The sequence below is a fragment of the Homo sapiens genome, chromosome 9 (assembly GCF_000001405.40).
Source record: "Homo sapiens chromosome 9, GRCh38.p14 Primary Assembly".
In the NCBI taxonomy this organism is placed as follows: Eukaryota; Metazoa; Chordata; class Mammalia; order Primates; family Hominidae; genus Homo; species Homo sapiens.
In genome coordinates this window covers 135,477,920-135,499,916 of record NC_000009.12, presented here as the reverse complement: position 1 = coordinate 135,499,916, position 21,997 = coordinate 135,477,920, and the positions used below count along the sequence as shown (strand labels likewise).

General features: G+C 54.6%; 2 protein-coding genes across 28 annotated transcripts, besides 5 other annotated features; one reads left to right on the top strand and one right to left on the bottom strand.

The window, feature by feature from the left end:
• PIERCE1 (piercer of microtubule wall 1) lies at positions 48 to 4,736 on the top strand. 2 transcript variants are annotated; one of them, NM_144654.3, is made up of 3 exons: positions 48 to 208; positions 1,254 to 1,332; positions 4,348 to 4,736. In NM_144654.3, the coding sequence occupies exons 1-3, from the start codon at positions 66 to 68 to the stop codon at positions 4,402 to 4,404; spliced, it is 279 nt and encodes a 92-aa protein (NP_653255.1). In that variant the 5' UTR covers positions 48 to 65; the 3' UTR covers positions 4,405 to 4,736. The 2 variants fall into 2 exon arrangements, with proteins under 2 accessions (NP_653255.1, NP_001041730.1); NM_001048265.2 differs by having other exon boundaries at positions 4,302 to 4,736.
• Positions 8,086 to 8,796: an enhancer, noted in NCBI's record as "H3K4me1 hESC enhancer chr9:138382967-138383677 (GRCh37/hg19 assembly coordinates)". NCBI's record gives its function as "activates a minimal SCP1, AML or CMV promoter by ChIP-STARR-seq in naive H9 embryonic stem cells {active_cell/tissue: H9 hESC(naive)}" and the evidence as "EXISTENCE:reporter gene assay evidence [ECO:0000049][PMID:30033119]".
• Positions 8,797 to 9,507: an enhancer, noted in NCBI's record as "H3K4me1 hESC enhancer chr9:138382256-138382966 (GRCh37/hg19 assembly coordinates)". NCBI's record gives its function as "activates a minimal SCP1, AML or CMV promoter by ChIP-STARR-seq in naive H9 embryonic stem cells {active_cell/tissue: H9 hESC(naive)}" and the evidence as "EXISTENCE:reporter gene assay evidence [ECO:0000049][PMID:30033119]".
• Positions 10,219 to 10,930: an enhancer, noted in NCBI's record as "H3K4me1 hESC enhancer chr9:138380833-138381544 (GRCh37/hg19 assembly coordinates)". NCBI's record gives its function as "activates a minimal SCP1, AML or CMV promoter by ChIP-STARR-seq in naive H9 embryonic stem cells {active_cell/tissue: H9 hESC(naive)}" and the evidence as "EXISTENCE:reporter gene assay evidence [ECO:0000049][PMID:30033119]".
• Positions 11,025 to 20,851, bottom strand: PPP1R26 (protein phosphatase 1 regulatory subunit 26). Of its 26 annotated transcripts, none has more exons than XM_047424216.1 (5): positions 20,806 to 20,851; positions 17,102 to 17,234; positions 16,364 to 16,565; positions 15,835 to 15,967; positions 11,025 to 15,468 (listed from the first exon to the last, which is right to left on the bottom strand). In XM_047424216.1, the coding sequence occupies exon 5, from the start codon at positions 15,404 to 15,406 to the stop codon at positions 11,777 to 11,779; it is 3,630 nt and encodes a 1,209-aa protein (XP_047280172.1). In that variant the 5' UTR covers positions 15,407 to 15,468; positions 15,835 to 15,967; positions 16,364 to 16,565; positions 17,102 to 17,234; positions 20,806 to 20,851; the 3' UTR covers positions 11,025 to 11,776. The 26 variants fall into 26 exon arrangements, with proteins under 26 accessions (XP_047280172.1, XP_016870849.1, XP_047280180.1 ...); XM_017015360.3 differs by lacking the exon at positions 20,806 to 20,851 and adding an exon at positions 20,193 to 20,254 and having other exon boundaries at positions 17,092 to 17,234; XM_047424224.1 differs by lacking the exon at positions 20,806 to 20,851 and adding an exon at positions 20,193 to 20,254 and having other exon boundaries at positions 11,025 to 15,695.
• Positions 19,494 to 19,543: a silencer, noted in NCBI's record as "silent region_20484". NCBI's record gives its function as "represses an Ori minimal core promoter by ATAC-STARR-seq in GM12878 lymphoblastoid cells {active_cell/tissue: GM12878}" and the evidence as "EXISTENCE:reporter gene assay evidence [ECO:0000049][PMID:35858748]".
• Positions 19,554 to 19,613: a silencer, noted in NCBI's record as "silent region_20483". NCBI's record gives its function as "represses an Ori minimal core promoter by ATAC-STARR-seq in GM12878 lymphoblastoid cells {active_cell/tissue: GM12878}" and the evidence as "EXISTENCE:reporter gene assay evidence [ECO:0000049][PMID:35858748]".
• Positions 20,852 to 21,997: the final 1,146 nt, after the last annotated feature.

The following is a 21,997-nucleotide window of genomic DNA, read 5'->3' as shown; positions in this document are numbered from 1 at the left end:
GTCACGTGACCTGGCCGTCGCTTGGCAACAGGACGCCGCCGAGTCCCGCTTCTCCTCCAGGCACAATGGCTGAGGAATGCCCCAGAGCGTGCGCGGAGCCTGTGGCGCCCAAGGCCACGGCCCCGCCGGAGAGGACCAGCGACTACTACCGCGTGAGCGCGGACCTGCCGGGCAGGTTCAACAACCCGGGGTGGTTCCGGGGCTACAGGTGAGGAAGCTGGGGCCCGCCTGGTCCTGGCGTCCACTGCTCGATAGCCCCGTGTGTGAGAGACCCCGCAAGACCCCCAAGGTCCTAGCTACAGAAATCAAGAAGATCGAGTGGTCATCCGGGGCCCGCGCTGTCATCGCCCGCCAGTGAGCGGCGACCGTGCTCCCTAGAGCCTCATACAAGGAAGTGGGGATAAGGGCAGTGGGGGGCAGGGCCGTGGGGGGAGAAAGCCCAGTTGTGGTCTCAGCTCCACTGATTTGTGTCGGGTGAGTCTCCTCTCCTCTCTACCCTGAAACTCCGCTGCGGGGCGTGAGCACAGCAGCACCTCCACTGTCTTGCTGTAGACTCAGCCAGCTCTGAGCTGCCACAGGGCATTGCAGGCTAAGAAGTAGTAAGAAACTCAATTCCTGTAGGCAGGTGCAAACATCTTGCCGTGCTCATCACACATTTGGTCCCTCAACAGTCCTCTAGGGCAGGGTCTGTTAGTATCCTCATTCTCGCATTGAGATGACTGGGATGTAGAAGGAACAACTTGGCCAAGATCTAGGAGTATAAAGTAAAGCTATGTCGTGGGCCTGCAGCCTCTCAGTAGCCTGTCCTACTGACAGGTAGGGGCAGTGGTACCAGTAGAAGCATAGCCTCAGTGAGGGTGGGGGCTCAGAGGCAGAGGGACCCTCTGGGTGGCAGGGTCTGGAGGCCAAGCCTCCGCTCCTGACAAGCTAGGTTACCCAGAAATTGCAGCATGTGCCGAGGCCCTGCCAGGGCTGGGGATCAGCACTTGCTGGCTGCCTGCTCTTTAGGGCTTTGGCCTGCCTTGGAAGAGCAGGGACAGTGGCAAGCAGAGGGGGCCGGGGAGGCCGGGCCATTCAGAACGGTCATCAGCCAGGTACTCCCAGAGGCTGCCTTCGAGGCCACATCACCAGCCCGGGCATATTGCTCTTTCCATGGGGGCATTTCCAGGGGAGTGCCGTCAACCAAATACAAGGCTGTGGCTTGTGCAGAATTAGAGTAAATGAATGAAAATAGAGTGTTTCTCATCTACCAGGACCCAGAAGGCTGTCTCCGTGTACAGGACCAGTAACCAGGCTTACGGGAGCAGAGCCCCCACCGTGCACGAGATGCCTGTAAGTGGGATGCAAGACCGGGCATGGGGGGCAGGGGGTGGGTGGCCTCAAGAAGAGGCTAAAAACCTGGGGTTCTCAACAGGTCAACAATGAGACGGGGAGGGGTGCACCCAGGGAGGAGGCCAAAGTTCCAGCATCACAAATGGGGAGGAGGGAGGTTCCCAAAATCGCTTTGGGAGAGGGTAGGATGGAACTAAATGAGTGAATGAATTTGGGAGTGGAGTGTTTTAAAAGAGGAGGATATAGACTTGCTGACATCACCCTGCCCCCATACACCCAACCACACGCACAGCAGTCTCACACACACACACGCAACCATCTCCTGCAACTTACGGTGCTCAGTTCTGAGGCAAATAAATGAAGGGCTACTTTTTTTTTGGAATTGTACTTTATGAGATGTTAACGTGTAACCTGAAGAGGCAGTACTGGCTGACGGCACAGCTTGTGGGTGGGCAAGTTGTATTGGTGGGCACAGGAGTCTGTGGGCCATTGGGGAAGCCAAACCCTTTTTGAGCTTGACCTTAGGCTCCAGGATGGCCCTCCTAGAACCTCCCCACACCAAACCCCATGAAGGTCCAGGTGAATGGACAGAGGGACTAGTGCGGTGTCTCCTGCACACCTGGGACACTGGGCCAGCCATTCTGGGGTGAGAATGTTGTGGACGTATTTTCGTTGTCAAAGCATTCATCACTGAAAAGGTCTGGTGAGTGCTTATTTAGTTGTGTGGCGTGAGTGACTGAGCCCTTGTGAGAAGATTACTTATCTAAAAATGCTGGAGCATTTGAGAATCACTCTCCCGTAATCAGACGACCCTGAGTTTTCCCTGGGGATCAGGTATTTCTATGAAAAAGACCAGACACAGCTGGATGCGGTGGCTCACGCCTGTAATCCCAGCACTTTGGGAGGCTGAGGTGAGAGGATCACTTGAGGCTCAGAGATCAAGACCAGCCTGGGCAACGTAATGAGACCCCCATCCCTGTAAAAATAAAATAAAATAATTAGCTGGGTGTGGTGGCATGCACCTGTAGTCCCAGCTATTCAGGAGGCTGAGGGTGGAGGATTGCTTGAGCCCAGGAGGTTGAGGCTGCAGTCAGCCTTGATCATGCCATTGCATTCCACCCTGGGTGAGAGCCAGACCCTGTTACCAAAACAAACAAGCAAACAAACAAAAACCAAAAAAAAAAGAAAAAAAAACCCAGCACACTCACTAACATGGGTCCAGATGTTTTAGGTTTTATAAAAGGCCATGAAAAAATGTTCCTATTGTAAATGGTAGGAGCCTTCAGGTCACTGATGGGAGCAGGCAGTGGGGTAGGAGGCATGAGGTACTACTGACAAGTTTCCAAGGAGGTTCTCCTCCTTCTTATCCACCTGCTCCGTCTGGAGTCTCTTTTCCAGTTTCGTGACCAAGGGTGGATGCCGGAGAAGCTGTTTACCTCCCATGTGGGAATAGAAGATAAATGCTTTGCATTAAAAAGTGCACTGAAAGGCTGGGCGTGGTGGCTCACGCCTGTAATCCCAGCACTTTGGGAGGCCGAGGCGGGTGGATCACCTGAGGTCAGGAGTTTGAGACCAGCCTGGCCAACATGGCGAAACCCCGTCTCTACTAAAAATACAAAAAGTAGCCGGGCATAGTGGTGGGCGCCTGTAATCCCAGCTGCTTGGGAGGCTGAGGCAGGAGAATTGCTTGAACCCAGAGGCGAAGGTTGCAGTGAGCTGAGATGGCGCCATTGCACGCCGGCGTGGGTGACTAGAGCAAAAACTCCATCTCAAAAAAAAAAAAAAAAAAATGCACTGAAGGGAATTCCTCTCCATGATACTGCATGGGCGGATCCCTGTGATGATACATTTGTCCCACCCATAGAATGTAGACTTTAGTTACTAATAAAGTATCAACACTGGCTCCACCGTAAAAAGTGTGCTACACAAGTGCGACATGCTAAGGACAGGGGGAACTGTGTTTGCTGAGGGAGGTAATTTGGGAACTCTCCGTACTTTCTGTTCAATTTTTCTATAGATCTAAAACTTCTCAAAAACAAAGAAAAGTTTTCTCTTTGCACTTGTTTCTTGCCAAGGAGATGAAACATCAGGTGATGTGCGTGGCACAGGATCCTCTAAGGACAGGTCACCCGTATGGGGTAAAATATTTGGCGGAGGTCCAGACCACTCGCTTCAGGAATGTCACAGTCACCTAATGATGCTGTCTTGCTAGAATAACTCCTACCACTGGGTGCCCGCCCACACGAGTGGCCTCAGCACACCCCTTCTCAATGGAGTTTTGCTCTTGTTGCCCAGGCAGGACTGCAATGGCACAATCTCGGCTCACTGCAAGCTCCGCCTCCCCGGTTCAAGCAATTCTCCTGCCTCAGCCTCCCGAGTAGCTGGGATTACATGCGCCCGCCACCACACCTGGCTAATATTTTTGTATTTTTAGTAGAGACGGCATTTCACTATGTTGGCCAGGCTGGTCTCGAACTCCTGACCTGAGGCGATCCACCTGCCTCAGCCTCCCAGAGTGCTGGGATTACAGGCGTGAGCCACCGCACCCAGCCCCAGTTAAGGTTGAAACCCACTGACATGGATATCATTTCTATTCCATAGAAGAGAAAACTGAAGTTCAGAGAGGGCTGGCAGCTTTCCCAGAGTAGCACAGTGAGCAAAAGCAGACCTGGGGGTGACTCCAGGACTGACCCCCAAGGCGATGCTCACAGCCACATCCTGAGGTAGAGATGGCACACAGGTGGCCCCACAGCTCATTCTTCTATCCTTAGAACAGTGCCGGGGGCAGTGTTAACAGCAAGTGCCAGGCATCGGGCATGGATTAGGATGGTCTGGGGTGAGCCAGGCCATCCTACCCACTCTGGCTTCTCTGCATTTTCTTATGAATTCTTATTTTTCTTTCAAAAATATTCAACGGATTGCTCAAGAGTATTATACGTCATTAATCCGTGTTCCTTTATCTCTTATAGAAAGTATTTTATCCAAATTCGAATAAATTTTCCCAACAACTTGCAGCGGGTGGAATGTTCCGGAACAATACTCTCAATGTTTACCTGGAGAAAAGCATCGTGACTGGCCCCGATAACTGCATCACCTCCTGTGACCGGCTCAACTTCCACCCCAGTTACAACATCAACAGGCCATCCATCTGCGATTGAGGGGCTGGAAACTCCCTCTAGGAGTCCTCTGACCCCAGGGCCTCCTGGAAAATCATCATCCCTCATCACCCACAGTCGCCCGATTGTGACGGCACAGACTGCGCTGCCTTCCCTGAAAATATTATTCGTCTGCGGAGTAGGAAAATATGCAAACGGGGCCGTGAAGTCCTGCCATTTCACATCTAATAAGTACATGGGAAAGATGCTAATGGTTGACTTTGCATTAAAAACGTTGTCACATCCTGAGCTTCCGTCTCGTCTGACGTTTGTCATGGTGGAGTGGGGCTGTGGGCTCCCGGGGCCCAAGTCCTGGCCTGAGCATCGGGAGCGCTGGTGGCTAACTCCGCTCGTGTCTGTATTTGGGAGCCATGTTACACACAAGACCAGTTAGGGAGCAGATCTCCCGTCCTAAAGCACCCAGCACCCTGGCTGAGATCTGCACAAACACTGCGGGGTTCCCACGAGGGCATGAGATGCCCCACTGGGGTGTGGGCGAGGGCCAGGCGCTGGGCAGGAGGAGGAGCAGATGCCTCGTCAGCCAAGTCGAGGCTGAACAGGCAGGAGGGGCCGTTACTGTGTGAGATTACTGGAGGAGCACATGGGGTTGCAGATGAACCTCCTCCACCATGTTTGTGTGCTTCATGCTCCAGCAAGGGGCAGGGGCAGGGACAGGGGCAGAGACAAGGTTGGTGAATGCCCTTCATTGTGGAAGGGGATGATGCAGACATGGGCATTCTCTATGTTTATTTTAAAATTTCAATAAAAAGTAAAAAAAAAGGCAGGGGATTACCTGTATTTTGCTAAGGGGGGTAATAACTACATGAAGTGGATTTTTATCTCTATGTAGTCATAAATCCATGTTTACTATGAGCTACAGGGTCTTCAATAAAAAAAAATTTGTCTATGACATGGATTTTTTTTCCCTCTATGAGAGCAAGATGTGTTCATTATAGGAAATTTAGAAAGTACTGAAACTAGAAAAAAGAAACTCCTCTTACACACCATCAATAATATCTTGTTAATAGATTCTTACCTGCAGGGATTCTACTCACGAATTAGGGAAGAAGTTAAACATCATGATGGGTTATTTCTTCATATAAACGTTTTATTATTAATACACAAAAGTAAACATTTTGGCAACAGTCTTAATGTCCAATTTGGGATGGAAATGCTTTCCAGAGAAAATCAATATATTTAATTAAAAAGTATACAAAATTGGCCCTGAAGCCAGGATCTATGTAATATCTTTCTTCTGAGCTAAAAAACCAGCAGAGACTCCAGGCATCAAACTGAAAATGTTTTTGCAGTTATTCCTTAAAAATACCAGAAATACCAGTAACCCCTCTGTGTTTAGCTTCTATTGAAATAAATAAAAAAAAATGCCTTATCAATCAGGTTTCTCAACACACTGAAAAGAATGCATTCCCGGCCGGGCATGGTGGGTGGCTCACACCTTGTAATCCCAGCACTTTGGGAGGCTGAGGTGGGCAGATCACTTGAGGTCAGGTGCTCCAGACCATCCTGACCAACATGGTGAAACCCTGTCTCTACTAAAAATACAAAAATTAGCCAGGGGTGTTGTGGGGTGTGCCTGTAATTCCAGCTACTCGGGAGGCAGAGGCAGGAGAAATGCTTGAACCTGGGAGGCGGAGATTGCAGTGAGCCGAGATCACGCCACTGCACTCCAGCTCAGGCGACAGAGCAAGATTCTGTCTCAAAAAAAAAAAAAAAAAAAAAAAAAAAAAGAATGCATTGCTTCCTCCACAGATGATTTTGAAAAGCACCAGGGTAAGATAAAGCCATCAGTCCAAATGACTGCGTTTGTTTCCCCGCCAGCCTAGAACTGTTGAACACCTGCACTGCTGTAGCAAGATGGCTTCATCCAGGCAAAGTCACGCCTGCAGGCAAAGTCACACCTGATGAAACCACTTCACTCGGATAACACCCCCAATTCTAGCTGAGGCGCTGTCGGGGCCCAGGCTGGGAGTATCAACCAACAGCAACAGGTGCCTCCCTCCTACGGGCTTCACGGGCTCAATTCCGGCATCTCAGTTGGGTGCCGAGTGATTTAGTTGGTCGTGTCTAATAAAATGTTACTTCTGTACAGCTGCTAATGAGCTGATGGAAAGTTAGACTCCACTCATTTATTCTAAATAGAGTAAGCATCTGGAGAGATGAAAAACCCCAATACCTCTGAATTGTGAGCCTGCCTGTCTCCCATGCCCAGGCCCGGGCGTGTGCCCGCCGCTCCGTTTCTTGGCATCTCGCAGTGTTCTAAGGGCTTTGGCATTGTCACCTTGCCCGATCTTCACACCTGGGGCCTCCCTCTCAGATGGGAAACAGAGCCGCATGGAAGGCTGCGAGCCGGCCTCGCTGGAGCCCGCCTTGGGGACATCCTGGAGGCGGGAGGCCATCGGCACTAGAGCCGCAGATTCAGTCCTAACCTACTACGCATTTGTGAGTCATACAGAGCTCCAGGGATCACAAATCTGGAGACCTTCCTCTTTGGAACAGATTTCCAAACTGAAATCTTCACATGCTGAGAAAAATCAAGTCCACTGATCTAACGGAACGCTCAACGGGTGTGTTTTCTGTTTGGGATTAAAGCGTACAGAACGGAGGGTTGCAAAATGAAAAGAAAATGGCACCCATCTATACTGTGTTCTTTCAAAATCTCAGAATTACAGGAAAGGTGACGGAAACACAGTGTAACATCAGTTTGCAGAGATATTTGGAAAAAAAAAAAAAAAAAAAAAGGACACAGCCATTTCTGAAACCCTCTCTCTTCACTCCACAGAGCAGTCTTTGCTTTGTTTAGCCTTTTTATTCCACTCAGAAATTACAAGCTAAGGCTGGGCACAATGGCTCATGCCTGTAATCCCAGCACTTTTGGAGGCTGATGTGGGCGGATCACCTGAGGCCAGAAGTTTGAGACCAGTCTGGCCAACATGGCGAAACCCTGTGTCTACTAAAAATACAAAAATTAGCCAGGAATGGTGGTGCACACCTGTAATCCCAGCTACTCGGGAGGTTGAAGCAGGAGGATTGCTTGAACCCGGGAGGTGGAAGCTGCAGCGAGCCAAGACACCACTGCACTCCAGCTTGGGCAACAGAGTGAGACCCCTTCTCCAAAAAAAAAAAAAAAAAAAAAAAAAAAATTCATGTCGCTTTACTAATCACTGAATTTTACTGCTGGGTTGGTTTAAAACCAGCCACTTCTTAAACGTACATTTTCATTTATATTTCTGTATTTTTCATCAGTAACCTTTATCTTTTCATTACAGTCAATATTAGAATGGTTTCTATTATGTAGTAAAATATCTTGACATTGAAAAAAAAAATCTCTTACATATAGTACACAAAATACCAGAAGCCTCAAAGATTTTGCAAATAATGTGATCTGTCCCCCACCCTCCCCAACAGCCACGCCTGGGAATAAACCTGGTTGTGATTTGCGGATATGGAATGTGGACTTTGTGCTGTTCCCTACGCCCCTTTAAACAGGTCCTTTCATTCGTTTTGAGGGAGGGGGGATCCAGGGGGCAATGCCTTTTACATGTTTATATGAGCAGACAGGTGCTAATAATTACATGTACTGCTTGATTTTCCAAAGCAAATATATCTCAAGCTGGGAAAATCTGCTGTCTGAGCCTTCAGATTCTGAGCGACAGATAAATTAAGGGGGACTCTTCCTTAAAGGAAGCTTCTCCCCCTACATAGGGAGGTGGGTGGAGAATATCAGACATGACCCGCCAGAGCTTTTTCCTTTTCCCATCCCCGTTCCCCGACATCAGGCTGACTCATCCCAGAGGACGAGAAACCTTAAAACCTGGCCTCTCCCGATTATTTGTATTGGATGAAATGGACCCTGGCCCTACTCCCTGGGAAGAGAGGGGCTCTTGGGACATGACTTACCTCTAGGTCTTAATAATTACAGACTTGCAAAGAGCTTGACTTACTGACACACTGTCCGCCGGAGACTCCTACAGGGCGGGCACACATCTACTTACTCCCACAGCGGCGCCGGGCCCGTATTCATGGGATGCAGCCGCGTCGTCACACCCGGATCTGCGGAGGTGCTGGGAGACAGACTGCCAACACAGGGGCGGGCATCCCTCCTGTGCAGCTCCTGGCTGCCCTGACTGCAGCCCCCTCCCATACAGGAAAACCCGCTGGCAGGTGTGGACGAACCTTGGATCTTGGCCTCTTCTCTAAAACAAACAGGACAGTGCAGGGGGTGAAGAAGCACCACTTTCAGGTCACATGGCCCATGGGCAATTCCAGGGAATTCCAGTTTGTGAAGAGAAAGAAGGCACCAACCGACTCATCTCCAGCTGAGTCTTAAAGCACCAGTGACTCCTGAAAGCAGGACAAGAGGAGCTCCAAGGGCAACTGTGATCGGCAGAACAAAGGTGGGAGGAAGCCCCCCCGTGCTCCAGGGAAGACTGGCATGGATCGCCTGTTTTAACCCCATCAGGAGGGCCATTTGGTCGGTATTTAAGCAAGCCACTGTTTGTCACAGCAAAGCCTGATCCCCAAGGGCCTCGGTAAGGAGCTCTGAACTGGGGACATCTTGTGCAGTTTTGAGTCCACCCCACCAGGGTGACCCCCGCGACGACACGGCACCTCTTTACAAAAACTGAAAATGGACCAAAGTGTTCCACAAAGAAATGCAGGTTCCTGGAACATTCTTAGTGAGTGATTAACCCACAGTGACTGTAAGCCAATTGGCAACTGCTCTGCATGTGGATAGGGGATGCCCTACACACATGTACGGGCAGAACACGCTAACTAGAGCTGGTGACCGTGTTACAGATGCCATGTCCCTGAACCTCAGGAGGTCTTCTTTCTGGGGCAGCAGCAGCTCTGACCTGCACTGCTATGTGGAGTGTTGGCAGAGGACATGTGAACGTCAGGGAAGGTGTAAAGGGTCCGGGGTTTGGGGAAGAGATGAGACAAGCGACCCTGGGGTGGGCATGGGGGCAGGAGTGGGAGAGGCTCAGTGCTACGTGCACTGTGGCTGTGGCTCCTCCCCTGGTGGGCCCAGGACAAGGGGGTTGGTTTCCAGCCAACATCCCCACAGGCACTATTTAGAAATATAAATAAGGCCGGGCACGGTGGCGCAAGCCTGTAATCCCAGCACTTTGGGAGGTCCGAGGCAGGCGGATCACCTGAGGTCAAGAGTTTGAGACCAGCCTGAACAACACAGTGAAACCCCTCTCTACTAAAAATCCAAAAATTAGCTGAGTGAGGTGACTCATGCCTGTAGTCCCAGCTACTTGGGAGGCTGAGGCACAAGAATCGCTTGAACCTGGGAAGTGAAGGTTGCATGAGCCAAGATTGCGCCACTGCACTCTAGCCTGGGCGACAGAGTGAGACACCGTCTCAAAAAATAAAAAATAAGAAAAAGCAATATAAATAAAAGAGCATGGATTACATGGAACTGTTTCTCCTGGAAGCACTTAAGTGAAGCAATATGCCACAACGAAGATATCACACACAAAAGACGGGGCTGGACAGGAACAGCAACCACAGGGACCCTCATCACGGCTTCTGACCCAGCAGACGTTGCATCTGTGGATGGCAGGTGGCACATGCCTGCATCTGGATACAAGAGTGAATTCTTGCTAAAACCCAGGGGTGCACAGTGTGTAGACAAGCCACTCGCATGTTCGAATACCAACAAGATTCAGCTCCAAAGAAACCCCGCATGGCAGCTAAGCCACGAGGCTGACCTGGGAAGCTCCAGTGACTCATCAAAGTTTGCTGGACAATTACAATGTAAATGTCACGGCCCATCAGTGCCCAGCACTGCTTCTGTCTCTGTAGTAGCCACGGACACTGCGGTGGCCTCAGAGCAGAAGGCACAGAATACCAGGGCAGCATCACAGGGCACCAACACCAAGGACCTGAGGCCGCCACCTTTAACCACGCCACAGTGCAGGAGAGGGCCCTGTGCATTCTGTCCTGGGAGGCGCCCACAGAAAGCCACCCAAAGGGCTGACGTTGGTGTTCGGGCACACCTCTGACGGGGCTCCTGTTTCTGGAGGGCAGGTATGGAGAACGCTTATCCCCAGGACTGGGTTTTGCACGTCATCTCTGCCCTGGGTGTCTGGGGACCAAAGTTCAAAGCAGTGCTTATTGGTGTGTGCAAGAAAAGAAATTTGTTTTGTTTTGTTTTTTGAGATGGAGTTTCACTCTTGTCACCCAGGCTGGAGTGCAATGGCACGATCTCAGCTCACTGCCACCTCCGCCTCTTGGGTTCAAGTGATTCTCCTTCCTCAGTCTCCTGAGTAGCTGGGATTACAGGCATCCGCCACCATGCCTGGCTAATTTTTGTAGTTTTAGTAGAGACGAGGTTTTGCCATGTTGGCCAGGCTGGTCTCGAACTCCTGACCTCAGGTGATCCGCCCGCCTCAGCCTCCCAAAGTTCTGGGATTACAGGTGTGAGTCACCGCGCCCGGCCAGAGAAAAGGACATTTTAAGTGCACGTGTGTTATCTTTAAGAACCATGATTTAAAAAGAACAGTAACGCCATATAAAAAGAGGTTTATTTCGATGTTAGAATCATCTAGTGATCGAACAAGATTGGACATGAACCCACCCAGGCCCAGGGCTGGGCTGCCGAGCAGCTGCCGCTGACATCTGTGTGGATTTGACATGCAACAGGGAGTAGCCACGTGCTCGCTCGCTGGCCACTGTGCTTCGAAACGTTTTTCCAGCGGACGGCTGTGATTGCAGTTTTCAGATGTGCTCTGGCCTCTAAGGACGTGGGGCCGAGGCGGTGTCCTCTGTATAAAAAGTGCTGTCCTGGGAGCTTCCCAACGGACATCTTGGGGCATCTGAGTGATTCCCAGGGAGGGCAGCTTGGCCTTCCTCAGGCTACCACTGCAGCCACCGCCGGCCATTCTCACCAGCAATCAACCAAAAAGCATCAGAGCCTCTGTGAACCTGGCTGTGATGGTAAGAACCAAATGTTTCCTAAGCTAAGACTTGTATGCAGAACACAGAAAACTGCAGTTAGGAACACCCTACAAAATTGAACAACAGTATTTTCCAAAAATATCTTTTACATCACTTTAAATAATTTACAAAAAGCTACAAAAATCATATTTACCAGGACACGTCTGTTAAATAAAAGTTTCATGTTGGTGTACATATATACAGGGCTATGTATAATAGACTGTTTCCCTTCCTTGCAGCCACGGAACCATCACACACACGCACGGCTACGCCGCTTTCCACGAATGCACGCAACCCAGGACGCGAACCCACAGCTCGAGGGCTTAGACCTTCACTACTGAGCTGCCGCCACTGTCCTCCGTGGAGGTGTCGCTGAAGTCACTGGCGTCACTGCCCAAGGCGTCCTGCTCCTGGTCATCCCTGTTGACCCTTCGTCGATACCTCAGGTCTAAAATGCTTTCCTCCGAGCCCGAGCTCCTCCTGTCATGCAAACTCAGCCCTGCCTGTGCCTTCCTGGTTGGCCAGGGGCCGCCGTCCTTCTTTGCCAGCAAGTGTGGGCTTCCAAAGACAGGGCTGGGTCCGGCCTGGGCCTCCCTGAAGGCCGAGAAGGAGGGGCCCTGCAGAGGCAGCCCCAGGTGGGGGCTGAAGAGGCCAGCCTGCCTGCCCCCCCAGGAGACACCCTTTCCAAAGTGGAAGAGCTGGGTGGACAGCAGCGGCGAGAAGCCCGCAAGGGGCAGGCTGGGCAGGCCCCGGGCGGGGCCCTCGGACCCCTTGTCTCTCTCGCTCCCGACGCCCCCCCTCCACACTGCATCTCTGCCTTCGGAGCGCAGCACCCACGGGCTGGGCAGCCGACTCTGGTGGGCGAAGTCGCTCCAGGGCGGTGTGCGGTCGGCCTGGGCTCCAGCGTCCCTCTCCGCTCCCGGGCTGGGGGTCAGGAAGCTCGGGCTCCCGCAGCCCATGTGAAAGGTTCCTCTGGCGCCTCCTGCCTCGGTGCCCGCTGTGGCACAGCTGGGCAGCTGACCAAAAGCACTTTTGGCAGCAGGCTCAGCCCCTCGTGGGCTCTGGTCTTTGTGAACGTAAACATTTCTCCTGCTCACTGAGAGCCCCTTGGCGGAGACACCGCCGCTGGTGCTCCTGGGCGGCACCGGATCCCCTCGGGCAGGAGCAGCAGGGAGCCCCTTCCCGCCCTGGCTGAACAGACCAGCTGTGCCCTGTGCTCCTGCGCTCTCTGTGCCTCGAAGCCCTTCGGCCAGATGTGGGACCCCCCTGGCCCTCTGGCTGCGTGTGCACACGCCAGGCGGTGGGGCAGGCTCCTTCCTGCACAGCACCTCTGGCCTGGCTGGGCCCCCTGTCCCAAGAGCGGTGGGGCCCTCTGCCTGAACTTCTGAACTGCTCACTGACTCCTTGGCCTTTTCCGCCAAAAACTTCCTAATCTCCAGTTCGATGCTGTCGTTGCTGTCCACTGAACTGCTGTCATCAGACAGGGAGCCGGGGCTGGGAGCTGGGCCCTGGGACTCCCTGGGGAATGGATTCCCTTCGGAGGCAGAGGCGGAGGCGGGTCTCCTCACCCGGAAGGCCAGGGCCGCGTCCTGGCTCGCGGCACCCTCCTGCCTCATCCTCTCTGCCGTGCTGCCAAAGACACTGGGGGGTTTCTTCCCAGGACCCTCGCCACTGTCTCTCTTGGACTTGGAGAGGCAGCTCTTCAGCACTGGCGGGCCCCTGTCTTTCCAGTCTCTCCGGAGCCCGCCCAGCTGCTCCAAGAAGTGCGTCTGGGCTGTGCTGAACCTGACCTTCTTCCTGCACGCAGCCCTGGGCTCCCTGCACCTCTTCTTGAGCTTTCGCTTGGACCTTAACAAGTCCTTGATGGCTGTGTCCAGGTCCTCGTCACTGTCCAGGGAGCTGCTTTTGTCTTCAGAGCTCTCTTTCTCGTCTAGGCGCCTTGCCTCGTCTGTCTTACCCTGGCCCTGTGACATGCGAGTGTCGCCAGGGCCCCTGGCGGTGCCCTCCCCTCCCAGGGCCTCACTGGCTTTGCCCTGGATGGGCAGGTCTCGCCTCTCATGGCCGGGCTCAGCTCTCCCCTGGCTGTGGTCGGCATCCTGGCTACCGTCTTTCACCACCTCCTGCATTTTCTTGGGCGTGGATGGCCTCACATGGCCACCACCTCTACGCTTCCTTTTGCAGCCCAGCAGTGGGTCTGGTGTTTTAGAGAGAGGGGTCTTGTGGCCGCCGGTCTGGCTGTTGAGGCCAGGCGGCAAAAGTGGACCCTGGGCAGCCTGCGGGCAGCTCTCACCTCTGGCCAGCAAACTCCCTGACTGCGCCTTTAGGGCCAAAAATGTCCGGATTTCCTGCTCGATGCTGTCATCGCTGTCCACGGAGCTACTGTCGCCGTCAGAGCGGGAAGGCACGTTCGGGGAGTAGAAGAGTGGGCTTGCGGACAGGGACCCGTCACTGCCCTCTACAGGGGCCGGCAGGATCGTCTTGGAGATGTCCAGGATTGCTTCTGCACACATCAGCTCAGCAGATGTGTCCGCCCGGCACGAGGACCGTTCCACAAACTCACTCCTGGAAGCAGGGCTCGCTGGAGGTGGAGCTTTGGTTTCCTTCAGGAGCTTGGGGGCATGGTCAGTGTCCAGGCCCCCTGGACCAGGGTCCATGGTCTTGGTGGCCACTAGCTTCTTCTTGCTGGGTGTTTTCCTGTGGGTCTCGGGCAAGGCACTTTTTGTGGCACTGCTTGTGCTGTGTGCGGGAGGGTCAGGCGCTCTCTCCTCTCGGAGTTGGACCCTCTGGGGCAGGTCCCCGTCGGCCTCCTTGCGTGTTTTCTGCAGCTGGTACAGCTGGATGGCCTCCTCAATGCCATCGTCGCTGCTGGAGTCGGACGCCTCGGACGCCTGTGCCGCACTCATGACTCGCTTTCCCCTCCTTGCAGCGCTGGCGCTCCTTTTGATCCCACCTTTATTCTGTGCTGCTTCTGAAGGGCGGCAGGGGGTTGCCGGCTTCGTGCTGCCCTCGTTCTCCTGCGTGGTTGTGACCTTGGACCTGAGGCTTCTGGGCTGGACGTTCATCTTCGCTAACCGGGGAGGTTTGCGGAAGGCAAACTCCTTCTGGACGCCCAGCAGGCCCTGCCGATGCACCACCTTTGTAGGCGGCTCTTGGTGGGATTTCAAGAGTGACTTGGCGGAATTTTCATTTGTGTCTGGTTTCTTCTCCACTGACCCATCACATTTTTGGGTCTCATGCTGTCTCTTCTCATTCAGAAACTGTTCTATTTCCGCCCTGATGCTCTGCTCGAAGGAGTCATCGCTGCTCACACTGACCGGGGAGGCGGAGCCCTGGTCCTTGCTGGATCCCACCTGGCTGCCGGGGCCACCACCTGATCCAGGTACAAGTTTTGGGGGACACAGGGCAGTCGGGGCACTGCCGTGAGCCGGTTCCGGCTTACATCTACTGCCTCCGCCTGCGGCCCTGGAAGGCTGGGCTGCACCTGGCTGGGCCCCGCCGGCCCCGGGCTGTGCGGCTCCACTCTTTGCCTTCAGGTACTCCTGGATGGCCTCCTCAATGTCCCTGTCCACGGAATCATCACTGTCTGAATCTAGCACCAACGGGCCAAAGTCTGTAGTTTCCTCCTCCCCCATGGGGTCAAAGTCAGCAACGAGACCACAGACAGCCAACGCGGGTGGCTCCTTGTGCACGGTGGGCTTGGCAGCCGGCCTGGCGTCGTGGCATCCCTCTGCCCTGTGGCCCCTCTGTGCGGCGCGCTCATCGCTGGTGCCCCGAGCAGCCCCGTCGCGCTGCAGAGTGCTGATAAGCATCTGCACCCGGGCGCTCACCGACGCGCTCTCCACGCCCTCGTCAGCCTCCGAGAAGCACCTGGGGAACCTACAGCTCCCTGGCGGGCCAAAGGCCTCCCATTTGGACTGGAGAGCAACCACTGGAGAAGCGTTCATGAGAAACATTCTAGCAGACGGGGAGGGGCGCGCAGAGGGGCGATGCTTTATTTCTCTACCGGCTTCACATCCTGGGCGGAAAGAAAGCACATGGGCATGATGCAGCTACAAACAGCGATAGCTGCCAACACCAAGCGAGGCCCCAGAGGAACAGCATGTCGGGCTCACAGAGTGGAGAGAGTTGGGTGGAGCCCAACGTCCAGCTAGCTGGGTGTCCTTGCACGACTTACTCATGCTCCTGGGGCCTCGGATTCCTCAGCTGGGAAAGGAACAATTTACCTGCTCCAGCCCGGGGCTGCTGGGAAGATTCAGTAAGAAAATGTTTCCAACCACCCTCCACGGTGCCGCCCGGGGCACGCACGGTCATCACCTCCCCGCTCTTCCCTTCTCACTCCGGGCTTCCACCTTCTCTGTAAGAGGGGAGAGGTTTTATTTACCTCCAAAGTTGGCAAGCGGTACCCATGAGACAACGTCTGCAAATGCTTCTTTGCAGCTTAAAAAGGATGACTAGAAACCCAGGATCAGCACGCCGTCATGCGTAGGTTCATTCTTGACCCAACCGACAAGCTCCTGGAACGGAAAGTTGTATGATGTGAGCCACTCAGAAATTATTTCCCCAAACATCTTGAAGGGCTGCTTTTACTAAACCCTCTCTATGTTAAATGTCAAATGTAAATTTGCCAGGTGGTCGCATGGGACTGCATTGTTATTCTTAGCTAACTAGCACAGAAGTCACCCTGAACACAGTGATGTCCCCCTTCTCATCCTGCGCTGCCAGATTTCAGACCAAAGGTGGCTGCCTCAGCACAAGTGCTGGGCTGAGCTTGGGACACTTTGAAGACCTGCTCACGAATGGCCTGGGGATTGCCACTGCAGGGAGGAAGCTCAGGTGGATGGCAGTCACTTAGAACAATACCAGGGATACTGCGCAGCTATTCATTCTTAACACATTGCTCTGATACCCACCTGCCTACCCCAAAATTGCAGTGCAAAGCGGTTCTTGTGCAAGCAAGCCTCCAAGGCTTATGGACACTGAACTCCCCTTGGCTCAGAGGCTGTGGCTGCCCTCAGGACCTCAGCAGTGGGCGAAAACTGGCCAGTATGTTTTGCCTCTGTTATGGATTCTTCTTTACCAGGAGCTTTCTCCGGTTAACCAGGCGCTTCCTTCCTGACAAGCACATAATTGGGTATTTACATGCCACCATCTTTTCACAAAAACGTGAGGCTGTGGCCAGGTGTGGTGGCTCACGCCTGTAATCCAGCACTTTGGAAGGCCGAGGCGGGTGGATCACCTGAGGTCAGGAGCTCAAGATCAGCCTGACCAATATAGTGAAACTCCATCTCTACTAAAAAAACACAAAAATTAGCCGGGCATGGTGGCGCATGCCTGTAATCCCAGCTACTTGGGAGGCTGAGGCAGGAGAATTGCTCGAACCCAGGAGGTAGAGTTTGCAGTGAGCTGAGATCATGCCACTGCACTCCAGTCTGGGCGACAGAATGAGACTCCATCTCAAAAAAAAAAAAAAAAAAAAGAAAGAAAGAAAAAGAAACAAAAGGTGAGCCTGGCCACCTACACACAGGTGAGCCCAAAAGGGGTAACCAGCAATTAACCAGGGGGTGAGACAGATTCAGAAGTAAGTCATTTGCTAGCACCAATTTGTGCCCTACAAGGGAAACTAAAATACAAGAATTACTTGAAATTACTTGAAATTCTGTGAGTCCAGGTTGACTGTGATGAAATGGCAGCCAGTGTTCCCACACGGCCCAGAGATCAGGTCCTCATCACTCCACTTACACACCGAGGCATTCTCTCTCTGCTTTTTCAATAGACTTTTGACTACCAGAATCAAAGAGAATCAGAGGCATCTAATTACAGGCTGAAGCTACAGTTGATAAATTTTTTTTTTTTGGAAAGAAATATCATTAACTTAAGGGCTCAAAATTAACTTTTGAAGGAACTTACTCTAAGACATTTAACCACAAGTACAAATATATTTAACTTAATGTATTAAGACAAATACATTTAACCACAAGTAATGTATAGCTATCCTGGACAGCAGATCTGATGCTGGCTGAAGTGATGGGGATGGGGCACGTATGTGACGTTATCTGCTAGTTCTCAAATTCTGGCCACCCACTGCAGCCCATGACATCCCCCATAAAGTCACCTTCTGGAGAGATTCCCCACTGACACAGAGCACTGGGGGACCAACAATGCGAGAGGAGCTCTTTCACTGGCTAGCAAACCCACGCCTGCCTTACTGTAGGTGTTATTCAAATTGCCTCTGCAAAATGACATAAATGACAAAACATTTGCATTAGCCTTGGGCTGAGGAGCGTCTAAATTAAGACTATTGACTCCTTAAACAGCAATACTACCTTAAGAATACTACCTTAAATACTACCTTAAGAAAACCGGCCCAAGTCAGTGTCTTTACACTAGATGACAAGGTCGGGGAGGGGAGTTTTCCTGGGGAAATAGTCTGTTCTCCACTAGCCACATTTACAGCTTCTGACTGGTTGCAGAGAAGGCCTGGACACCCAGTGAACAGTTTTCTAAGTTGTCAAATCACCTAGTTCAAGAATGGTATTAAAAAATCTGGCCAGGTGCAGTGGCTGACGCCTGTAATCCCAGCACTTTGGGAGGCTGAGGCAGGTGGATCACCTGAGGTCAGGAGTTTGAGACCAGCCTGGCCAATATGGTGAAACCCCTCCTCTGCTAAAAATACAAAAATTAGCTGGGCGTGGTGGCGTGTGCCCGTAATCCCAGCTACTGGGGAGGCTGAGACAGGAGAATTGCTTGAACCCAGGAGGCAGAGGTTGCAGTGAGCCGAGATCGCGCCACTGCACTCCAGCCTAGGAGACAGAACGAGACTCCATCTCAGAAAGAAAAAAAAAAATCGAGGGGGGTCGTCTCCCCAGGACAGCTTGTGGCTTTAAAACATTATGCGAGATGAATCATTCTTGAAAAGCCCCCTGGGTCGGGGATAGTGGCTCACACCTGTAATCCCAGCACTCTGGGAGGTGGAGGCAGGTGGATCACTTGAGGCCAGGAGTTCGAGACCAGCCTGGCCAACATGGCGAAACCCCATCTCTACTAAAAACACATAAATTAGCTGGGCGTGGGAGCCCACGTCTGTAGTTCCAGCTACTCCAGGGGCTGAGGCACGAGAATCGCTTGAACCAGGGAGGCGGAGATTACAGTGAGCCGAGATCAGCCATTGCACTCCAGCCTGGGCGACAAAGCGAGACTCTGGCTCTAAAAAAAAAAAAAAAAAAAAAACAAGAAAAGCCCCCTAATCAGTCCTTAGAGATAGGTGTGGGCCCAAGCCAGAGGTGCAGGCTTTGTCAAATTGCTGCCTCAGGATACGGTCTTGAGGGTGGCTGTGGGGACACCCAGCACCTGCACCCCAAGGCCACACGGTGTCAGATTTTAGGAAGCGGTGGAGAACACTCGGGTACCTTCTCGGTCCAGACATCAACCTTCTGGAGAGAACCAAAGCACCCACACTGGGCCCTCGCCATCCTAACAGTCTGCCCACCTGTGAGAAACGCCCCCAAATACTCTACATTTCTCGGTTGGCCGAAAAGCAGCTCAGCCAGCGGTCTTACCTCCCAGGTGGGGTTTCCCCCCAGGGTAGGGAGGCCAGGGTCTGCAGGCCAGGGAGAGGAGCCCCGGTGCAGGAGCGGGCGGGGCAGCAGGAGGACCCGCTCCAGCCACCCAGAAGTGGGCGTGGGCTAGAATTCAGCTCCCAGCCTTCCAGAAGCTGCAATTTTACAACCTCACTACAAGCGTCCCCCAGCAAAGCTGCACCGCCATTTCCTGTGCTTGGGAACTGAAGGCAAGGTGAGCCCCTCCCGGCTGCCCCGGCCCGACCTCCCCTGACTCCCAAGCTTGGGCTACTCACGGCCTGCGGGCTGGGCAGGGTCCCCCAAGGGAGCTCCCCTCCCCGAGGGCGCGCTCACCCTAGCCGCTGGGATCGGCGACCTGGTCCTCGGCCCGGCGGGAGTGAACGCCTCCCAGGGAAGAGGCCGGGCCTCCAAGCAGGTCTGCACCCCCGGAGTTATGTTTCTGGGATCCGAGGACTAGCGAGCTTGGGGCCCGGGAGAGCGGCCACCCTCCCGGAAGCTCCGCCTGGCGCAGGGCGTGAACCGCAGTCTCCAGGCCGGCCGGGCCGCGGCCATTCTCGGAGGGCAGCGGCCGCCCCGGGCCGGGCCAAAGCTCCCCACCGCGGGCCCTCACCTGCGCCTCACCTGGGGCTCCAGGAGCGCGGGGCGCGCGGGCCGAGAGTCGCACGGAGGCCAGAGACAGGATCCCCGCCCGGGGAACGGAGCAGCCCCGGCGCCGATCCCCGTCCGCCTGCCTCGGGGAGCCCCCGCCGCCCGCCCGCCGCGGCCTGCACGGCGCGCCGGCCCCGGCCTGGCTGGCCCTCCTGTCCCCGACCCCCCAGCTTCCCAGCCCCCGAGCCCCCCGGCCCCGGCCCTGCACCCGCTCACCTCCGCCCGTCCCCCGCCGCCCGCCGCGCGGACCCCGCCTGCGCCCGCGTCCCACGTCCCGGGGGAGGCGGCGGGCCGGGGGCGGGCCGGAGGCTGCAGGGCCAGCGCGCTCCGCCCTCGGCCGGGGCGCGGGGAGGGGGCGCAGGGGCGTCCGGCCGGGCCCCCCGCCTCCCCGCCTCCCCGCGCGCCGCCGCTGCCGCCGCCCCGCGCCCGGGCCGCGCCGTGGGAAGCGCGGGAGGGGAGGGGCGGGGCGGGGGGCGGGGCGACCCCCCCAAGCCGCCCCCTCCCCGCGACCTACCGGACGGTGGCGGCGGCGGCCGCACTCCGGAAGCCGTGCCCGTGGCTGGGCATCATGGGAATGGCACGGCCGAGTTCCGGGGGAGGCGCGCGGCCCGGCCGGACCCCCGCCCGCGAGAGCGCGCCCACCTGCCGCCGCGCCCGCGCCCCGGGGACGCCCCCGCCCCGCCCCGCCCGGTTCGGACGCGGCCCCCTCCGCGGGGTGCGGGGCGAAGGCGCTTGGGCCGGGCCGAGCCCCGTGCTGCCCGCCTCCCGTACCGCGGCCACCTCCGGGGGGCGCGCAGGGGGCGCGGGGTCGCCGGGAAGTTCTGGGCGCGGGGGGCGTGGCCGTGGGAAAGCGCTCGGAGCCGCGGGAAGGGAGCGTGCGGGGCCCCGGCGCCAACCGAGTTCCTCCCCGAAGTTCACGCGGGGCTCCGGGCTGAGACCGGCCCGCCCGCCCCTCCAGCCCCACAGCCTTGGGCCGGGGTCGGGGGCGGCCCCCGCGTGTCCCCGCGGCTGCCCCACCCGAGCTTGCGGCGGGGAGTGGACGCACGACCTGCCCGGGGCGGCGGCTCCTCGAGCACACCTGCCGCCAGGTTCGGGGGAGGGAACAGTTTCTAGGAACTGCCCCGGACCTTGAGGCCGCTGCTGTTTCTGCTTCTGCTGTGCACTGACCATGTGACCTTGAAAGTCTTCCCAGTTTTGTTTTATAAAAGGTCCAGGGTGTGTGCCCGAGGCTGGCGGTGGCCCGGGTGTGCTCAGCATCCCCGGGCGGCGGGGAACGGGCAGACCCGACTGGATCCTCCCTCAGCGCCCACTCGTGGAAGGGGCAGATGGTGCGCAGGGGCACCGCGCTGCTTCTGTAAGCCCCCTGGGCCCTGATCCACACGTGTCTGGGAGATGAATTTGTGGGTTCGGTTCCTGTCTAGAAAGTGTCAGAGATTTGATAGGATCAAAATCAGAGACTTGCCTTGGAGGGGTGCTTCTAGTCATGCCAGCCTGGGAAGCTGGAGGGCCAGTTTTGGGTCAGGAAACCCATTAAAGAATTGTTTTAATGCCTTCGTGAATTTTTTCAAAAAGCAATTTTTTTTTTCTCATGAAATAATACTCTTTCATTACCAAACTTTGGGGAGATGATCTAATTAATAAGGTGACTTCCCAGAGACATGGGCTGTTAAGGTTTTGGCATGCTGCTTCACAGTTTTTAAAACAGTGCTGTGGTGAACAGCTTTCATGATGCCTCCTTAGAGCGGCTCTGAGCATTTCCTGCGGGCAAATCCCTAGAAGAGGCCGGCGGGCCAAAGACTATGCTGCATTTTGCCAAAATGCCCTCCAGAAATGCGGGGCCAGCCTGCCGTCCACCCACTGGTGAGCGGGCATGCCCGCTTGCCTGTCCTCTTGCCAGCCCTGAGATATGTCATTGCGTTATGTCTTTGGCAGTCTGATAGGCGAAACAGCCCTTTTCATCACTTGAATCCTAATTTCTTTGACTGCTGGTGATGTTGAACATCTTTTCATTTTATTATTGGCCATTTGGAATATTGCCTGTCTGTGTTCTTTGCCCATTTTTTATTTTTCTGTTGGGCTGTGTGTCTTTTTCTTAGGGATTCTAAGAGCTTGTTACCGTAAGGAATTTAGCTCTTCTCTGTGCTGTATGCTACTCTGTACAAGAGCGTAAATGCAATGTATGGTCGGGCGCGGCGGCTCACCCCTGTAATCCCAGCACTTTGGGAGGCCAAGTTGGGCAGATCACCTGAAGTCAGGAGTTTGAGACCAGCCTGGCTAACATGATGAAACCTCGTCTCTACTAAAAAATACAAAAATTAA